This window comes from Homo sapiens, chromosome 10, assembly GCF_000001405.40.
Source record: "Homo sapiens chromosome 10, GRCh38.p14 Primary Assembly".
In the NCBI taxonomy this organism is placed as follows: Eukaryota; Metazoa; Chordata; class Mammalia; order Primates; family Hominidae; genus Homo; species Homo sapiens.
Window position 1 is genome coordinate 127195475 of NC_000010.11, and position 15794 is coordinate 127211268.

Genomic DNA, 15794 nt, shown 5'->3' on the forward strand with positions numbered 1-15794 from the left:
CGCGCCTCTCCTCAACGGCCGGCGTCAGGGCCCCTCTGTTCCAACTCATCCCCCCCCCGAAGTTAATCAGCCGTACTTGTACTTTCCAGGGCGCTTTAGTTTGGAAAATACTTAAAAGCCTCGAAACCTTCCGGGGAGACGGCCGCCCCCAGATCTCCCAGTTTTGCCTGGCTAGGGCTGTCGGGCGCTCACGAAGCTGTGGCGTCTGTCTGGAACCCACATCGCAGAGGCGCAGCCCCGCTCCTCCCTGACGTCGCCAAAGTTGCCAGACGCCCCTCAGCGACCCGGTCGCGCCAGATGCAGTTGCATAACCTTGCCCCCCACCTGCGACCGCACCGGGTCCGCTCCCGGCTGCACCGGGGTGTCCCGGCCCCGGGAGCCGCCGAGTTTCCGGCCAAGCCGGTTTGGGGCCGAGTGTGTGCGCCCGAATCGGGGTCGGCGCCCGTCCCAGCGGTGCTCTGCCCGCGGCCAAGTACGACGGGCGCGGGGGCGCGGGAGGAGGGCACGCGGGGCTCCGCTTACCTTCCGCTGCTTACAGATAAGTCGAGGTCGATGCAGCGCCTGGCTCGGGCATGTCTCGCTGCGGACCCTGGCAAGCCTGGGGCGGCACGGAGCACTCCGGACAGGGCATCCGCGGCCAGACTCGCCGCGCTCACGCGGAGGAAGCCTCGGCTCCGGGGACTTGGCCCGCTGCGCGCCTGCTGCCCGCCCCCTCCACCGCTGCCGGCCCGGCCCTGCTGGCCCGGCCGGCCCCCGCGCCGCAGCTCGCGTCGCTCGCGTCCCTCCGGCCCCGCTTAGCGACGCGCGCGGGGAGGCAGCGGCTGGGCCAGCTCCGGGGACGCCCGCGCGCTCGCTTGCTCGCGACGCGGCGGAGCCAGCCACAGCCACCCGGCTTCGCGCTCCTCCGATGTCCTCATTTACTGCAATTGTCTTCGGCGAGATCTCAGAGCCAGGGCCAGGAGGCGGGGGCGGGGCAGAGGAGGGAGCAGGAGGGAAGTCCTTTCCGCTGCTCCAGGTCCCAGCTACTCCGCGGAGCCGGGCGGCCAGAGGCGAGGGCGCCCCAAGCCGCGCGCCTGCCGCCTGTGCGCCCGGCTGGCACCGAGGCGGGCGGAGCCCCGGGCCCCGCGGGGCGGAGGTGGGGCGGGGGCGGCGCGGGGCCGGGCCGGGCCGGGCCGCGTGCGTGGGGTGGGGGATAGGGAGGGAGTGGAGGAGCCCCCTCCCGCCGCCGCCAGAGCTGGAGGAGGAGGAGGAAGAGGAGGAGGAGGTGGAAGGAGCTGCCGCCGGCTGCCGCCGGCTGCCGCCTGCGCGCGGGGCTCCGCCACAGCGCGTCCTCCGGGTTTCTGGGCTGCAGGCGGCGCTGCATGGCCCGGGAACTTGTTGAGTCTACCCTGGAGCCGCCTCCGGAGCAGCTGGCGGGCGGGGGACTCCGTGTGTTCTCTCAGGGATGGGGGGTCGCTGGGGACCCTGCTGCATGACTGTCTGCTGTGCCAGCCAGCCTGGCCCGGCGGGGCTTTGGGAAGCCAGGCTTGAAGGGTGCGTGTCTTGTAGGTGCCTGGCCGCTCACCTGCGGATGCTGCCTTGTAGAAGCAGGAGTTCGGGGATCCTTTCAGTGCTGGCTCCAACCTGGTGTCAGCCTCTCTACATGGGGACAGGAGGTCCTATGAGTGGCCTGAGGACTGAAGTGGGAGGGCCTGCCTGGTAATGTTGCATGCTGACATTTAGGGACACTCCAGAGCAGGCGCCACTGCCACTCCTAGCCAGGAACCCTACCCCCCATCCAGAGCACACACCACCCGTCAGCAGAAGCCACAGGGCGCAGAGGCTGAGTTCCTTTGTGGCAGAGTAGAATTCTCTTGGGAGAGGAAAAGACCTAGGATGCACACGGAGCTATCCCCGCCCTTAATTTCCCACCCACCAAAGAGTATTGGGTGTTTTGAGCTCAGAGCAGCAGACCCAGGGGCCCCTCTGATGCCTGTCAGGCCCTGGGGTCTGGGCCAGGGACTAAGCAGCCAGCCGAGTGCAGGGCTCCTGGCCCCCTGGATTTGCTCCTAGAATGTAATGTAAAATGTAAGTAGCCACATTTATTAGTCTGTTTCTCAGGAAAGGTCAGAGAAGTAGTGGACCCCAGGGAAGGGACAGGCTTCGGAGAGGAAATTGGGAGGACAAATGGAAAGTCCCTTCACCCACCCACCTCTCCAGACACATCAGTGGGCAGTGAGACCTCTTTGCCTATACATCCCTGAGTCTCTGCACCTAGCACCAGCTCTGTGCCTGTGACCAAGCCATAGCTCCATCCTTGTTCGCTGAGCTGAACTGAGCCTATCACTGCCTTATAGAGTGTCTGTTTTTTATAAATGACTTTATACGAAATACCTTCTTTGTATGTGGATGCTTTGGGCAGTGTGTCCAGACATTTCAGAAGAAAAAAAAATCTAAAATGTCATCTATTTCCCTCTTTACCCCGCAGCATCCTTTGGTATACAATTTTGCCAGCCTTGGGGATCCAGATATGCCCAGGACGGGAGTCCTGAGCCTGTGGATCCAAACTCTGCCCACCTCACTCTTCTTGTTGTTCTTCTTAACTCAGATCCCCCAAGCTGATTTTCCAGCTTACCAGGGAGGCTGTTGGGAGCTGGCTGGAAAGAGATGCTTAATTTTGTGTGAGCAGTATGGAAACTGCAGTCCCCTCTTCTGCCTGGAAGGGGCCTGGGAAGGGAATGTATAGGAGTTGGGGACGTTTAAAACCAGATAGGAGAAGTTGCCACTCTCCAGCATGTTCCCTTGGGGATGTGCTGTTGCAGCTGTGGGCTCCAGTAATTTTCCCAGTGGTCTGGGGAACTTCTGTAAATCTTACTTTATTGGCAATCCATAAAATTGAAATCTGCCTTCCGTCTTTTAAAGTGACTGTAAATAAAGCTGCCAGGAAACTTGGGCATTGGGCTGGTAGTATCAGAAGGCTGAAGTTTTCCGGGACCAAGAGTGAAAACAGGTCAACATAAATGCATGCCCAGCAAGGCAGTGCTCAGCCACAGGTGGCACTGTGAACTGGCAAGAAAACAGCTCCAAGGACAGTGCTATCTGAGATTCGCATGATGTATAACTCCAGGAAGAAAATGGAAAGCCGTAATTGGCAGGTTAGAAAATCCACTTACATGAAGAGGAGAGTATAACGGAATTCTGTAGCATCATCAGGACTGCTTAGAGTTGTTCAATTGTGTAGTAGACTTACAGTTGTTTTGCTAAGTCTATTAAAATCATTGGCATCGCTTCTTTTTTTTTTTTTTGAAGTAGGAAACCATTTACATATTGTAGTGCTTAAGTGCATGTCTTCAGCATCACAAATCAAAATATTGGTGAAAACTTGCCTCACCTTACCTTTGGCTCTGGAGAGATATTCCACATGGGTGAGGTGTGTGTCATCATGCTCCAGGCTTTAAAGCAAGCATCATGCTGGGGGCTGGCTGGAGAGAAGGGAGTTTCAGCCATCTTCCTGCCCACAGATCCCTCTTGCATTTTTTTTTAATAGATGGGATGTAGGCATATTTTTAGGGTCTAGAATGAGTCAATATGCTCGGCTTCCTCAGGAAAAAAAAAAAGTGAAACTTGATAGATTCATTTTAGGAATCAATTGGTATTGGCTTTTTATATTTTGCTTAAGATTTTTGTTGAAAAAGATAGACTTGCAAAGGAGAAAATAGCTACTTTTCAAGTGGGATTTCCTAAAAGCAGAGGAATAAAAATAAGGGAAAGTTCAAGACGGCTAACTAAGCAAAATATCCACGTCTCTCTTCTTTTGCCTTCTTCTTGGAATTGTGCAGGGGTTGTACAGAGAATTGCTGGAATTCCACCCCTATGGTATAGTGAGTTTGAGGTCTCAATTTCCACATTAAAAAGTCAAGAATATACAAGTCAAACATGTTCAAGAATGTTCATAACAGGTTTATCTATATCTGTTCCAAACGGGAAATAATCCAAATACCAGTCAACAGTAGATAAAGATTTCTTGGTTCTTCGTATAGTGGAATACTAGACAGCAACCCAAAAGCACTAACTGCTGATGCATGCTTTGGCATGGAGGGCTTCTACAAAGGTGCAGAACAAAGGAAGCCAGACGCCCAGTGTTTATGACATGATTCCCTTTAGATGAAGTCCAAGAATGCGACAAAGTTATCAATGGTGGAAAATATCAGAATGGGGATTACCTTTGAGGCATACTCGTTGCCCGGGACCACAGCAACTTCACTGGTGCTGGATCATTCTGTCTCCTGCACTAGTTGCTTATGCAGTTTTCCACCTATATAGAAATTCATGGAGATGCTTCCTGTCTCAGTGTGACCTCATTTGTCTGAGCATCATCACTGTGTCATTGCAATGTCCACATGCATGCTCCCCAATAACCCTTACCCCTCAGTGAACCAGTGTATCTGTCAGTGTGATTAACCTGTATCCTCTCCAGTGTGCAAGGCAGGAGAAGAGAAAAGTGTCTCCAAACTAGCAACTGCAGAAGAGGAGCCTTCCAGTTTAGCTACACAGCAGAACTTCCTTCTTTAGGAGACTGCCGATGAAACGCCTGCCCTCCCAACTGTCCGATGTCGCTGTGACAGAGCTCGCTATGGACGTGAATTTTTCTTTCCCATGTCTTTGTTACACAAAAGCGGTCCCGATCCAGATCCCAAGAGAGGGTTCCCGGATCTCACACAAGAAAGAACACAGGGCGAGTCCACTGTGCAAAGTGAAAACAAGTTTATTAAGAGAATAAAGTAGTGAAAGAACAGCTACTCCATAGACAGAGTGGGACATTCCCAAAAGTAAGAGGAGGAATGCGTCCAGCCTAGGTACAATACTCATATATATGGGGAGCTCTGCTCTGCTACGAGGGTTTGTGATAAAGGATTAAATTTCTTAATTATTATATTTTGCAAGAATCGATATTATCTGTTTTCGTTTTTGTTTTTGTTTTTGTTTTGGAGACAGAGTTTCGTTTTGTTGCCCAGGCTAGAGTGGCGTGATGTCAGTTTACTGCAACCTCCATCTCCCATGTTCAAGCAATTCTCGTGCCTCAGCCTCCTGAGTAACCTGTAACCACGCCTGGCTGATTTTTTGTATTTTAGTAGAAATGAGGTTTCACCATGTTGCCCAGGCTGGTCTCCAACTCCTCAGCTCAGGCAATCCACCCATCTCAGCCTCCCAAAGTGCTAAGATTACAGGCGTGAGCCACTGCGCCCGATATTATTATCTTTAAAGTAAAATTAGGAACGCCTTTGTTCTCAGGATGTCTGGATATTAGGACACTCCCAAGTCTGGGTCTGTTTAGTAAACATCACCAGTGTGTTCCCTTAACCTTAAACATCTAGAGGTGAGGAATGCCTAACTTTCTAAGAATGCAGCCCAGTAAGTCTCAGCCTCATTTCTCTAGTCCTCACTCAAAATGGAGTCGCTGTGGTTCGGATGCCTCTGACATCTGCATATTCCAAAGAGACTCATAGATGAGCCCAACCTAAGTCTGTGATGGGCAGGTTACACCCGTCAGTTCAGAAGCTGTGGTAGCAGATCAGCCAGTGCTCAACGCCTACGAGGGAAAAGTAACTCATATCGCCTTCGACCTGTAGGGTCGAGATCATTCCCTTGGGGACACTTTAGCCTTGTCTTTCAAGAACAAGACAGACACAATCCTCAAGGTGCCCCAGTGGGGCCTCCTTTTCTGCCGAGAAGCCCTGCAGGAAGGCTTTCTGCATCATTCCCCTTGTCATATTCTGCTCGAGCCTTCACTCTCCTCTTTCTGGGCTTATTTCTGGTTTAAGACTCTCGCTTTGTGTAAAGCCCCTTGCCCGTGGCTCTTGCACGGTCCTGGCAGCCGAGCCGTGTTTCCTTCTGGTGGGAACCAGAGCTGTTTCTGAGGTGCTGGTCCATGTTCCAGGGCCATGCCACTCCTCTGGCTTTCTTTTCCTTTCATGGTAAGAAACTAGAGATGGTTTATTGGCCTGAAATACAAATTTGTTTTGGAAAACCTGAGCATCGTGAGGACTCGTTGAGATCCCTGGCTTTCTATGATGCATCATTGTGAATCTGATTTATCCACAGAAATGGAAGGTTTTCCTTTTGAAAGAGAGGGAAGTAGCTCTAGGTTTTTGTTTTTTTCTAATGCTCCCTGCAACTGAGGCAGTGATGTATGGGAATAAGGAAGAGCAGGCGTGCACTCTGGCTCTCCCCTCTCCCCTCACAATCCCTCATTTTCAGGGCTCTGAGCAAACCCCAAGGCTTTCCCCTCCCAACTGCAGCCTCTCCTTTCTTTTAGGCGGACTCCTGGGGAATGAAACAGAAACCCTTTATTTTGTTGACCTTTATTTGGTCAGTCTTGGGTGCTGGTTTCTATAGGGTTTCTTACTATCCCATTCTCGTCACTGGGGAGCCAACCTCTTCAGCACAGGTAGATGGCTCAATGGGCTTGTCTTAATCCTTGCTGGTAAGGCCACCAGTCTCATTGAGCCTGCTGAAGCCACCTTCTCATAAAGTGGCTGACATGCCCACAGAGAGTGACACTTCTGATCAGAACTAGGGCAGGAAGGAGCCAGGCACGGTGGCTTATGCCTGTAATCCGAGCATTTTGGGAGGCCAAGGCGGGCAGATTGCTTGAGCTCAGGAGTTCGAGACCAGCCTGGCCACTATGGTGAAAGCTTGTCTCTACTAAAAATAGGAAAATTAGCCAGGCATAGTGGCTCATGACTGTAATCCCAGCTAGTCGGTAAGCTGAGGCAGTAGAATCACTTGAACCTGGGAGGTGAAGGTTGCAGTGAGCCAAGATCGCGCCATGGCATTCCAGCCTGGGTGACAGAGCGAGACTCTGTCTCCAAAAAAAAAAAAAGAACTAGGACAGGAAGGGGTAAGAATGGATTTCACACTTGAGTTTCCACCCACCAGCGCTGTGTGCTGGTGCTGGAGCTACTGGCTGCCCTTCCCAGGCCTTCTGCCCCGGTGCACAGGAGGCTTTTCTTTAGGGAGCTGCTGCAGGGAGGCCTGCAGTCTTCTCCCAGCTGGGGGGTGTAGGAACTTCCTTGTTTGCCCTCCATCCCCACCTTAGGTTCCACAGGCATGGAAGAGGGATGGGGTAAAGGGGAAGGCAAGGAACATGGAAGCCTCCTTGTTGTACTTTTTTCCTTCCCCAAGCCCTGACTGAATATGAGACTTCGATGAGAATGATGCTCCGCTTCGGTTGTGCGCCTCCAGGGTGGCAGGTACTCGGTCCATTGTGGATTATATACTTTGGTTCTTACCAGATAACTGGGCACTCAATACTGTTAAACTGTCTCCACAGATGTGGATCAGAGAACGTAAATGATCTCTCCAAGGTCACACAGCTAGGAAGGGGTGGAGCCTGGATTCAAATCCAGTTCTGTCTGATGCAACCAGAGGACAGATTCTGACCAAAAATGCCAACTGCTCATGCCAGGCTCTCAGGAAGCTGATGCTGCGTCCAGGCTGGCTGGAGAGTAGCTTTGACCAGCATTCTTTTGTCGTCATTAGCCGTCCCTCATTATCTCACTGTATTAGTTACACTTTGAAATAAAAACAGGCACTGAAACAGCAATATACTCAAATCATTTTGCATTTCGATAGCACTCTAAGCTTCCCCAATATAATTTCAGTGATATTCTCACGTTTTCTTCGTTGAATAACAGCTATTAAAATGATTCATCACAATATACGTATCCCATCTATACCACAAGAGGCCACTTCACACCCTTCTGGTGCCATGTATAATGGCATCGTATTACCATGGCCTTTTGATTATCTTGAACACCTCTTTGGTGCTGTCATTTGCTGAGATTCAGTCATAGTGGACAGGATATGTGTTTTTATTTTTTTTAAAGATGACTAACACACTGTGCATATAATTCTAATTACCTACCCTTGACATTTTATGCGCTTAGTGCAATAAATTATTTTGCTAGTTTGGTCTAAGAATTGACGACCTGACTTTAGATGTATTTATTTCGCAGCGTGGCTCATGGGTGATGTGATAACAAGCTATGAAACATTGGAAAGCAAGCATTTTATTCTTTAACACCAAGTTCCAAATGGGAAAAGTACAGAATTAAAAATAAAAAAATCTCTAGTTATGTTTGATGACCTCTGAGTTCCTGGAACTGTCAGTTCCATGTTTTCCGTAAACGTTTTTTTTTTTTTTTTCATATTATTGAGTCTTTGGAGAATTAAACAGTCTTCGCTTTAATTGCACTGCACGGTAGGGCTGCGGATCTCCCCGTGTCCAATTCACCTAATTTGTGTTTTGGCACATTCTGCAGCTGTGCCATACTCTAAATGTGTGTGCACCCCTCACTTCGGGGTTCTCATATATTAGTCCACTAACTAAAGTTAAAGTAAAAAATCAAAAACTTATTTTAAGACATTTCTTACACAATTTTGATTTTTTTTTTTTTTGAGATTCAAAGAAAGGCAGGGAATTTGGCTTGTAAATGTTGCTTAATGTTTTTTTCTCTTTTTAGAAACTCCAGTGTCCATAGTTTAAAGTGAATATGGCTAGAATGTTGTACAAACGCTCCTGGCTTCATCCACATCCCTGTATCTCGGCAGTCACAGCTCCCTGGCACCTTCTCCCCCTTGCCTGGACGGAGGCTTCTGAGTGATCTCCTAGGCCTTCCTAGATTGAGAGGGGAAAGGGAAGATCTTAAGATTCCAGAATATTCATTTCATTTAAGCGAGGGAGGCAAATCCTACAGAGCTTTTTCCCATTTGTGTTCATTTATTGGCTGTTTCCGTGGATTCGAGAAAGAAACTTGAAAATCTGTTTTGTTTTGTTTGGTTTGGTTTTGAGATGGAGTCTCACTCTGTCACCCAGGCTGGAGTGCAGTGATGTGATGTTGGCTCACTGCAACCTCTGCCTGCCAGGTTCAAGCAATTCTCCTGCCTCAGCCTCCTGAGTAGCTGGGATTACAGGCATGCACCACCACACCCAGCTAATCTTTGTATTTTTAGTGGACTTAGGGTTTCACCATGTTGGCCAGGCTGGTCTCGAACTCCTGACCTCAAGCAATCCACCTGCCTCAGTCTCCCAAAGTGCTGGGATCACTGGCGTGAGCCACCGTGCCTGACCGTTTTTTTAAAAAAAAATAGAGATGGGCGTTTGGAAACTGAGTCACTCAAAAGGTGAAGTAGCTTTGTCCCACAGATCTGTTACTCAGTACAAAGTTGAAAGGAAACCTAAATTCATTTTATTTGTGTTTCCAGTGTGCATCCCAGACATTTGTTTCAGAATTTGTTAAACATTGAAGAAGATCACCTAGGGTTGAGTAGGTAAGAAGTAAATGTGGCTTTGAGAGGCCGTGATAGCCGATACCCTCAATGGCTGCTCTTGGCCTGTTGGACAAGCCATCCTTGCACATGACTTGCTATCCTATGACCCGCCTCCAGATCAGTCACCCTCCCCATTTGACTGTGGGTGGCCTGGCTCTGTTTGATGACCATGAGCAATAAAGTTACCCTTTCATTACCATGCCTTGGGCTATCTGAGCTGGATGCCCCTAAGTTCTAATAGAAAATAACATTTATTGATGGTTTTTTTTTTCTTCTCTGAACCCAAATATGACAATGAGGAAATTTATTTTAAAGGTACTGATTTTTTCCTTCCCCACAGAGTAAATATTGTCACATGGAACTGCTGATGATACTTCTGAGTCCCTTAAAATAAGACTTGTGATTCATTCACACCATGAAAATGGTAGAGAACCAACATCTTCACCTTCAGATTCATACGTTATTGGCTCTTTCCTTTTTGGTCCGTGGGTGTTAATGAACATTTTCACTCTGGAGCTTTCTCTGCTTCCGACTCCAGCGTGGATGAAGGAGTGCAGCTTCTGGCCTGCCTGGTTCATCCTCTGGGTCTCTCAGCCCTGGGATTTCCACGTTCCATCTCTGTTGTGGTGGGCGAGTTGCATGATGCATTCGATTTGATATTTTACAGAACCTCTACTGAGAAAATAGGGTAAGCAGATTAAAGCTGAACTCAGACACGTGTTTGGCAACCACCCACTCTTGATGGCGTAAGTGGATGGAGGCAGGTGGCCACAGCAAACACCATGTGGCTTTACGAAGAAATGTTCCTCTTCCATACGTTAGGCCTGTGTAAAGTTCCTTGTTGGACTTTTGCTTCTTCGATGACAATACATATTTTGTTAGTATTTAAAGGACATTTTTAAACATTGCTGAAGTGCAATCAGCTTAAATTGCGATTCATATGACAAGTGTTGAAACAGGGTGATGTTTGCCATGAAATTTAAATAAGCTCCGTTAAAGCAGAAATGTCTATATACCATGTAAGACACAATGGTCTCCCATAGCCTTCCCCTGTTCTTTACTTCTTGACAAGCATGAATAGTCTCTCTGTTTGAATACAGAGTAGAGTCAGTTATTTTAAAAGAGTTATCATCTATGGGTATAATGCACTTTAAGCAAACTCTTTACATGCAAGTATGACTTATCAACAAGTAAACCTTACCAAATAAATGCTCATTTTGATTAAGGCTACCTTCAGATAACCACTGTTTATCATGCACTTAGAGGGATTCAGTTTTCCAAAATAATTTAAAAGGTGACTTTTTAGAACATCATCTATTACATTGTCATCTACCATATATTCTTCTTCTCTTTTTTTTTTTTTTTTTTTTTTTTTGTGACAGAGTCTCACTCTGTTGCCCAGGCTATAGTGCAGTGGTGCAAGCTCAGCTCACTGCAACCTCCACCTCCCAAACTCAAGCAATTCTGGTGCCTCAGCCTCCCGAGTAGCTGGAATTACAGGCACCCGCCACCATGCCCAGCTAATTTTTGTATTTTTAGTAGAGACAGGGTTTTGCCATGTTGGCCAGGCTGGTCTCAAACTCGTGACCTCAAGTGATCTGCCCACCTCGGCCTCCCAAAGTGCTGGGATTAAAGGCGTGAGCCACCGCGCCCGGCCTACTGTATATTCTTATATATACATGTGTATAAGAATATGCATTTACTTAATACGCTATCAATGTACAGAATTGTTTGTTGTGGATTTCTGCACATGTTCCTTGGGTAAGAGAGTCTTGATGTGATTTGCGCTGTGAGAGCAGAACTTAGGTGCTCTATGTTCTCCAAAGTCCCCCTCCACCTCCTGGATGGCATTTATTCAGTAGAATCCGAGCTCAATAAATAAAGAACCTCGTGTACTTCCCAAAGAGCCAGACACTGTGTTAGCTGCTTTATACATACATCTCTTAATTTTCATTTTTTGACAACATTATGAACTATGAAATATTGATAGGACATGAAAAATCAAGAGCTGGTCTTACGGAATAGTGCAGGATTCCTTCCCTGCTCCATTTTTCAAAGCTTTGCTCCATTGGAACTTAACAATGTGCTGTCTTTCAGTACGTCTGAAGGTCTTTTTCAATTTAAATCAGTTTATTCCTGTTTTTACCATATCCAGCTCCCTGCTACTCCTAATATAAACAGACTTAGTGGCCTATTAAGTATTTTACTTCTAATGCTTTTGAGTTTTTTCTTGGCAGTGGAGGTGTAATCTCTCCCAAAACCTGCCTGCACTTCACAGAGAATAGGACCGCAATTGCCAGAAGAAACTGAACCTTTATGGGGGAAAAAGAAAAATACAGCCTTCCCTCATTCTCCAGTCTTAATTGAGCTAACTCAATTTATGCCAACCAGTTCTTGCTGGTCATAGTTCTAGAGCTTTATGAGAATTAAATCCTGATCTCACCTTAATCCTCCTAAAATCTCCGTGAAACTGGGCACTGTTATCAGCACCATTGTGAAATGAGGCAGCAAGTACAGGGCGGTCCCTAAATGTGACTAAGTCAGGAATCTTATGTAGAAAGCTTACAAGGAAGTTGGGGGGTGATTAGGAATTGTCTCCAGAAATACCAGATAAACAGTTCAAATTTTAGTGAAGCAAAAGATAGGCATATTTTGGCCTTGTTTAACTTGTACCTGAATGTACCAATAACACTTTTGGAAGACTTGGACGTACTCTTCCTCTTTTCCCAGGAAAATGGGAGAGTATTCATTCCTGTACATATTGAGAACATGGACAATTCTCACATTTTAGGATTGTCTTAATAGGCAACTGACTTTATTATCTACGTGTTGATTGAAAGAATAGCTCATAGCAGGTGTTAAAAGTTTTTCCTAAAGAGCTACATTATAAATATTTTGGACTTTGAAGGCCATAACATCGTAACATTTCAAAGGTCATGAAAACCCAGCTCTGCTGGTGAAGCAGGGAAGCAGCTGTAGAGAATATGTAGACAAATGGGCAACTACTGAGTTCCAACAAAACTTTATTTACAAAACCAGGAGGTGGGCCAGATTTGGTCCACAGGCTATAGTTTTATGACCCCTGGCTTATAGCATAAGTTGTTGGACAGAATTTTGATACCATATGTAGACCCAAATTTTAAGAATGAATTGATGCGTTTGATTGATCACAGGAGAATTCAGTGTTTTTCCCCTTTGCTTCTTACATACGCTAGATTGTAGGCTCACCCGGCCTCCTCTGCGATTTGGGCAGAATTAGAGCAGTATATCCTATCAAGAATTACTTCTGGCAGGGGATATGGTGAAGGGGCCATTCATCTGTTAGTATTTGAGTAAGAAACAGTTCCATACAAACAATTGGGAATAGTAATGTCTTTGTCATTGTGAAACGGAAGAATTTTGCTGTCTTAGTTATGGGAATGCTCCAGTTATGGGAACTAAAGTGCAGTAATTGCTTTAAATGGACGGTCATATATGTTTGGCTCCTTAGTCCAATAATTTTATTCACCACGTTCCCCTGAGAGAAGACTTGACAAGACAATCCTGGACAGTCAGCATTGGATTTTCATCTCCAGCTGATTGATTTAGTATTTCATGCAACCCAATGGAGTATCTTTGCTGTAGGGTTTTAATACTGGAGCTATTATGATGACTGATGTAATTTAGTTTCCTGTATTGATGGTTTCCAAACAATTGAGATGAATAGTTAAGTTTCTATAATTGTTCTCTGTAACCATATGAAAAATGATTATATATTAGCTTAACATGAGTTTTTTCACTAAAATAAAAATCAATAATCAGTTGGTTATCCTTTTGAATATTATATTTAATGCCTCAGATTTGAATATTATCAGGAAGCCAAGATTTCAAGACCCCGTTTCATTTTTTTAAAAACATGACAAAATGTGACATAGTGAACATTGAGATCACTGAGCTTCATTGTGGATTAGCACCCCACTTTCAAATTTGTCAACACGATATCATCTGTTAGATGATATCTAACGTTGAGATGTTCTCTAAGATAATAACGTTGAGATATTCTCTAAAGACCTAGGATAAAGTTCTAATTTAATTTCCTATTGCAGTATTTTTGTGTTGCCTGTCATTAAGACTGTGGAGCTTCCTTATTAATTAAATTTAGTTCACTGTGTATATTGCTACCACTTACCAAGTGGTCGTTAATACAGCCTCTCTTAGGTGATGGCTTTTTGTTTACCTAGCGATGAAAAGCTTAACCTACACTGCATTTTTTTCATGTGTGTTTAACCGAAGGAAACATCTTTGAATTTATCTTCTCACTGCATAACTGGAAACACTGAAATTTATTTGATGATCCAGAATCAGTTCCTTGGTTTTTAACTTTATTTCCATCCACAACAAGTGGCAGCTTTGAGAAGGTTTCAGTTCTTTACACTGAGATTCCAGTGGATGAGTCTGAATGTTTAACTCCCAGAAGTTAGGAGAAGATTGAGCTTGCTTTTGGAGTTTAAGAATGAAAATGCAAGTGCATGTGCCTATTTTAGGGCCTAAGTTGGATTTTCATAAAATAAAGCAAAATCTGAGGTCACCCTGTGTGGGAAAACCTCATCCGAGACTGGAGATTGAAAATAGGAGCAAGGGCCAGAAGTAGCCGCCTGGAGAGCAGAGCTAAGGACTGGGTGGTGCCTGTGTGTCCTTTGGGCACCTGGTGACTTTCAGGACATCATAGACGCAAGGGTGAGGGCCCATCTCATCCTTACTGTCAGAGGCAACAGTACAGCCCTGGGGTGTATTTCACATTATACCACTAGAGCTGGGTGCTTAAAGGGCATCATCAAATCCATTTTTCTTACCTTGAGTGGAGGTGCCTTTCATTTGTAAATGATGGATTTGAAAAACGGACAAGTAGTGAAAATGCAGGAAAATGATTCACATCAGTAGGTGCTCCAGCAGATGTGGAGTAAAAATCAACATGTCCCACAAATGGGCAATTAAAGGTTACACATAGAATTTATGGAAAGAACTTTGGAGTGTCCCAGGGATTGCAAAGGTGGTTATAAATGCATGTGCTCACCTCTTCCTGTTAGCACACACACCTAAATACGCAGAATCTCTCAGCAGAGACATTCCGTTGAGAGCCTACTTAATAAACCTCATTTTAATTTTATTCACCTTAGTAAGGCTGCAGGAGTTGGTAAGTCCCGTGGACTTGGAGACTTAGGTTAAGGAATTCCAAACTTGACTGCTAGGCTGCTGGTACAAATCATCTTTCTCTCTTTCTAGTCACCTGGATACATTATGATGCGATGCCAGACTTCCCCAAAACCCCAATCAAGAAATAAGAAAAGATTTTTCTCCATTTCCTGGTTCCCTCACAGTGAGAATGAGATTTTTTATGAAGTCTTACATTTGGTGGTTATTGGCCCATTACCTATGGAAACCACTGTAAAGACCTCACAGTGCTGCCATCAGCATGCGCTCTGGACTTCGGCGGTGCCACATAAGGTGGCCCCAGTGCTCATCCCAGGAAGAATGGCCCCTGCTTGTCTCGGCAAATGACTCCCACGGAAGCTGTGGAGAGCCACGAAGGTGGCAGGCGGCATTAGAGGGGCTGTAAAGGGACCGATGCCTGAGAATTTCTTCTGCAGGATGTAGAACCGTGTGCATTTGGATGATAATGCAGTCAGAGGAGGGCTTCCTGTGATTACGGTGGAATAACTCTCAGGCTGAGCCCGGGAAACCAGGAAATGCACGTCTACCAGGAGCCGAAGCAGAGGGGTTTCTTTTTCCCTCTTGCTCTGTCTCGTTGAACCTTGGTTCTTCTATCTGTCCCTGAGTCCTGCCTCTGAGCCACTGCCTGTTCCCTGGGTGGCTCCAGCCATGGACTGCATGGGTGCCAGGCACATAGCTGGTGACTCTGCCCCTCTGGTGAGTGCAGCATGGCCTCTGCTCTCTCCCCCTGCCTCTTTTTGTTTTCCTTTTCTGAGGGTTCCTCAGCCTCATGAAGTTTAAAGCCTAATGCAGATCCTCTCCCTCCGCTGCATTGTTCTAGGTGTCACTGAATTTCTCCAAAGAGAAAAATAAAAACTCAGAATATTCTTGTGACTGATTTCTGAATGTGACACGTGGCGTAATGACTTAAACGTATTACAGCCAGCAGCTCTTGGTATAGGACCCATGATATTTTATTATATTTTGTTTAGCATTTTGTTGTACTTTATTATTTTATTGTCTTTGTTTTATTTAGAACACTTTATATCCACCCTTTTCACAGAGTTTTAAATGTACGTTACGGTACTGTTAACTCTGGGTACGATGTTGTGCAGCAGATGTCTAGAACTTACTCATCTTGTGGAAGTGAAACTGTACAATTGTGTCTGTGATCCTTCTTAAAGCCTTAGCTGGGCTGCTGAGTCCTGCACTCTAACTGCAGGAAGGGCAGCTAAGGAAAGCCAAGTGCAACTTGCCAGACAGATGGGATTTTCATGTCTCATCTATCAGGC

The 15794-nt window shown here is 46.4% G+C and overlaps 2 protein-coding genes across 27 annotated transcripts in view; one reads left to right on the forward strand and one right to left on the reverse strand.

Moving 5' to 3' along the window:
• INSYN2A (inhibitory synaptic factor 2A) overlaps positions 1 to 1117 on the reverse strand; it is a 61162-nt gene extending 60045 nt beyond the window's left edge. For 5 of the 6 annotated variants that reach the window (XM_005252694.5, XM_017016539.3, NM_001039762.3 and 2 more), the window contains exon 1: positions 523 to 1117. The gene's annotated coding sequence lies outside the window, so the exon portion shown is untranslated. Of the gene's footprint in view, positions 1 to 76; positions 304 to 522 lie in introns of those variants that run through there. The other variant, XM_047425637.1, reaches the window with a different exon arrangement.
• The window catches only part of DOCK1 (dedicator of cytokinesis 1), a 547089-nt gene that overhangs the window by 290047 nt on the left and 241248 nt on the right, over positions 1 to 15794 (forward strand). The gene's annotated exons all lie outside the window — the stretch shown is intronic.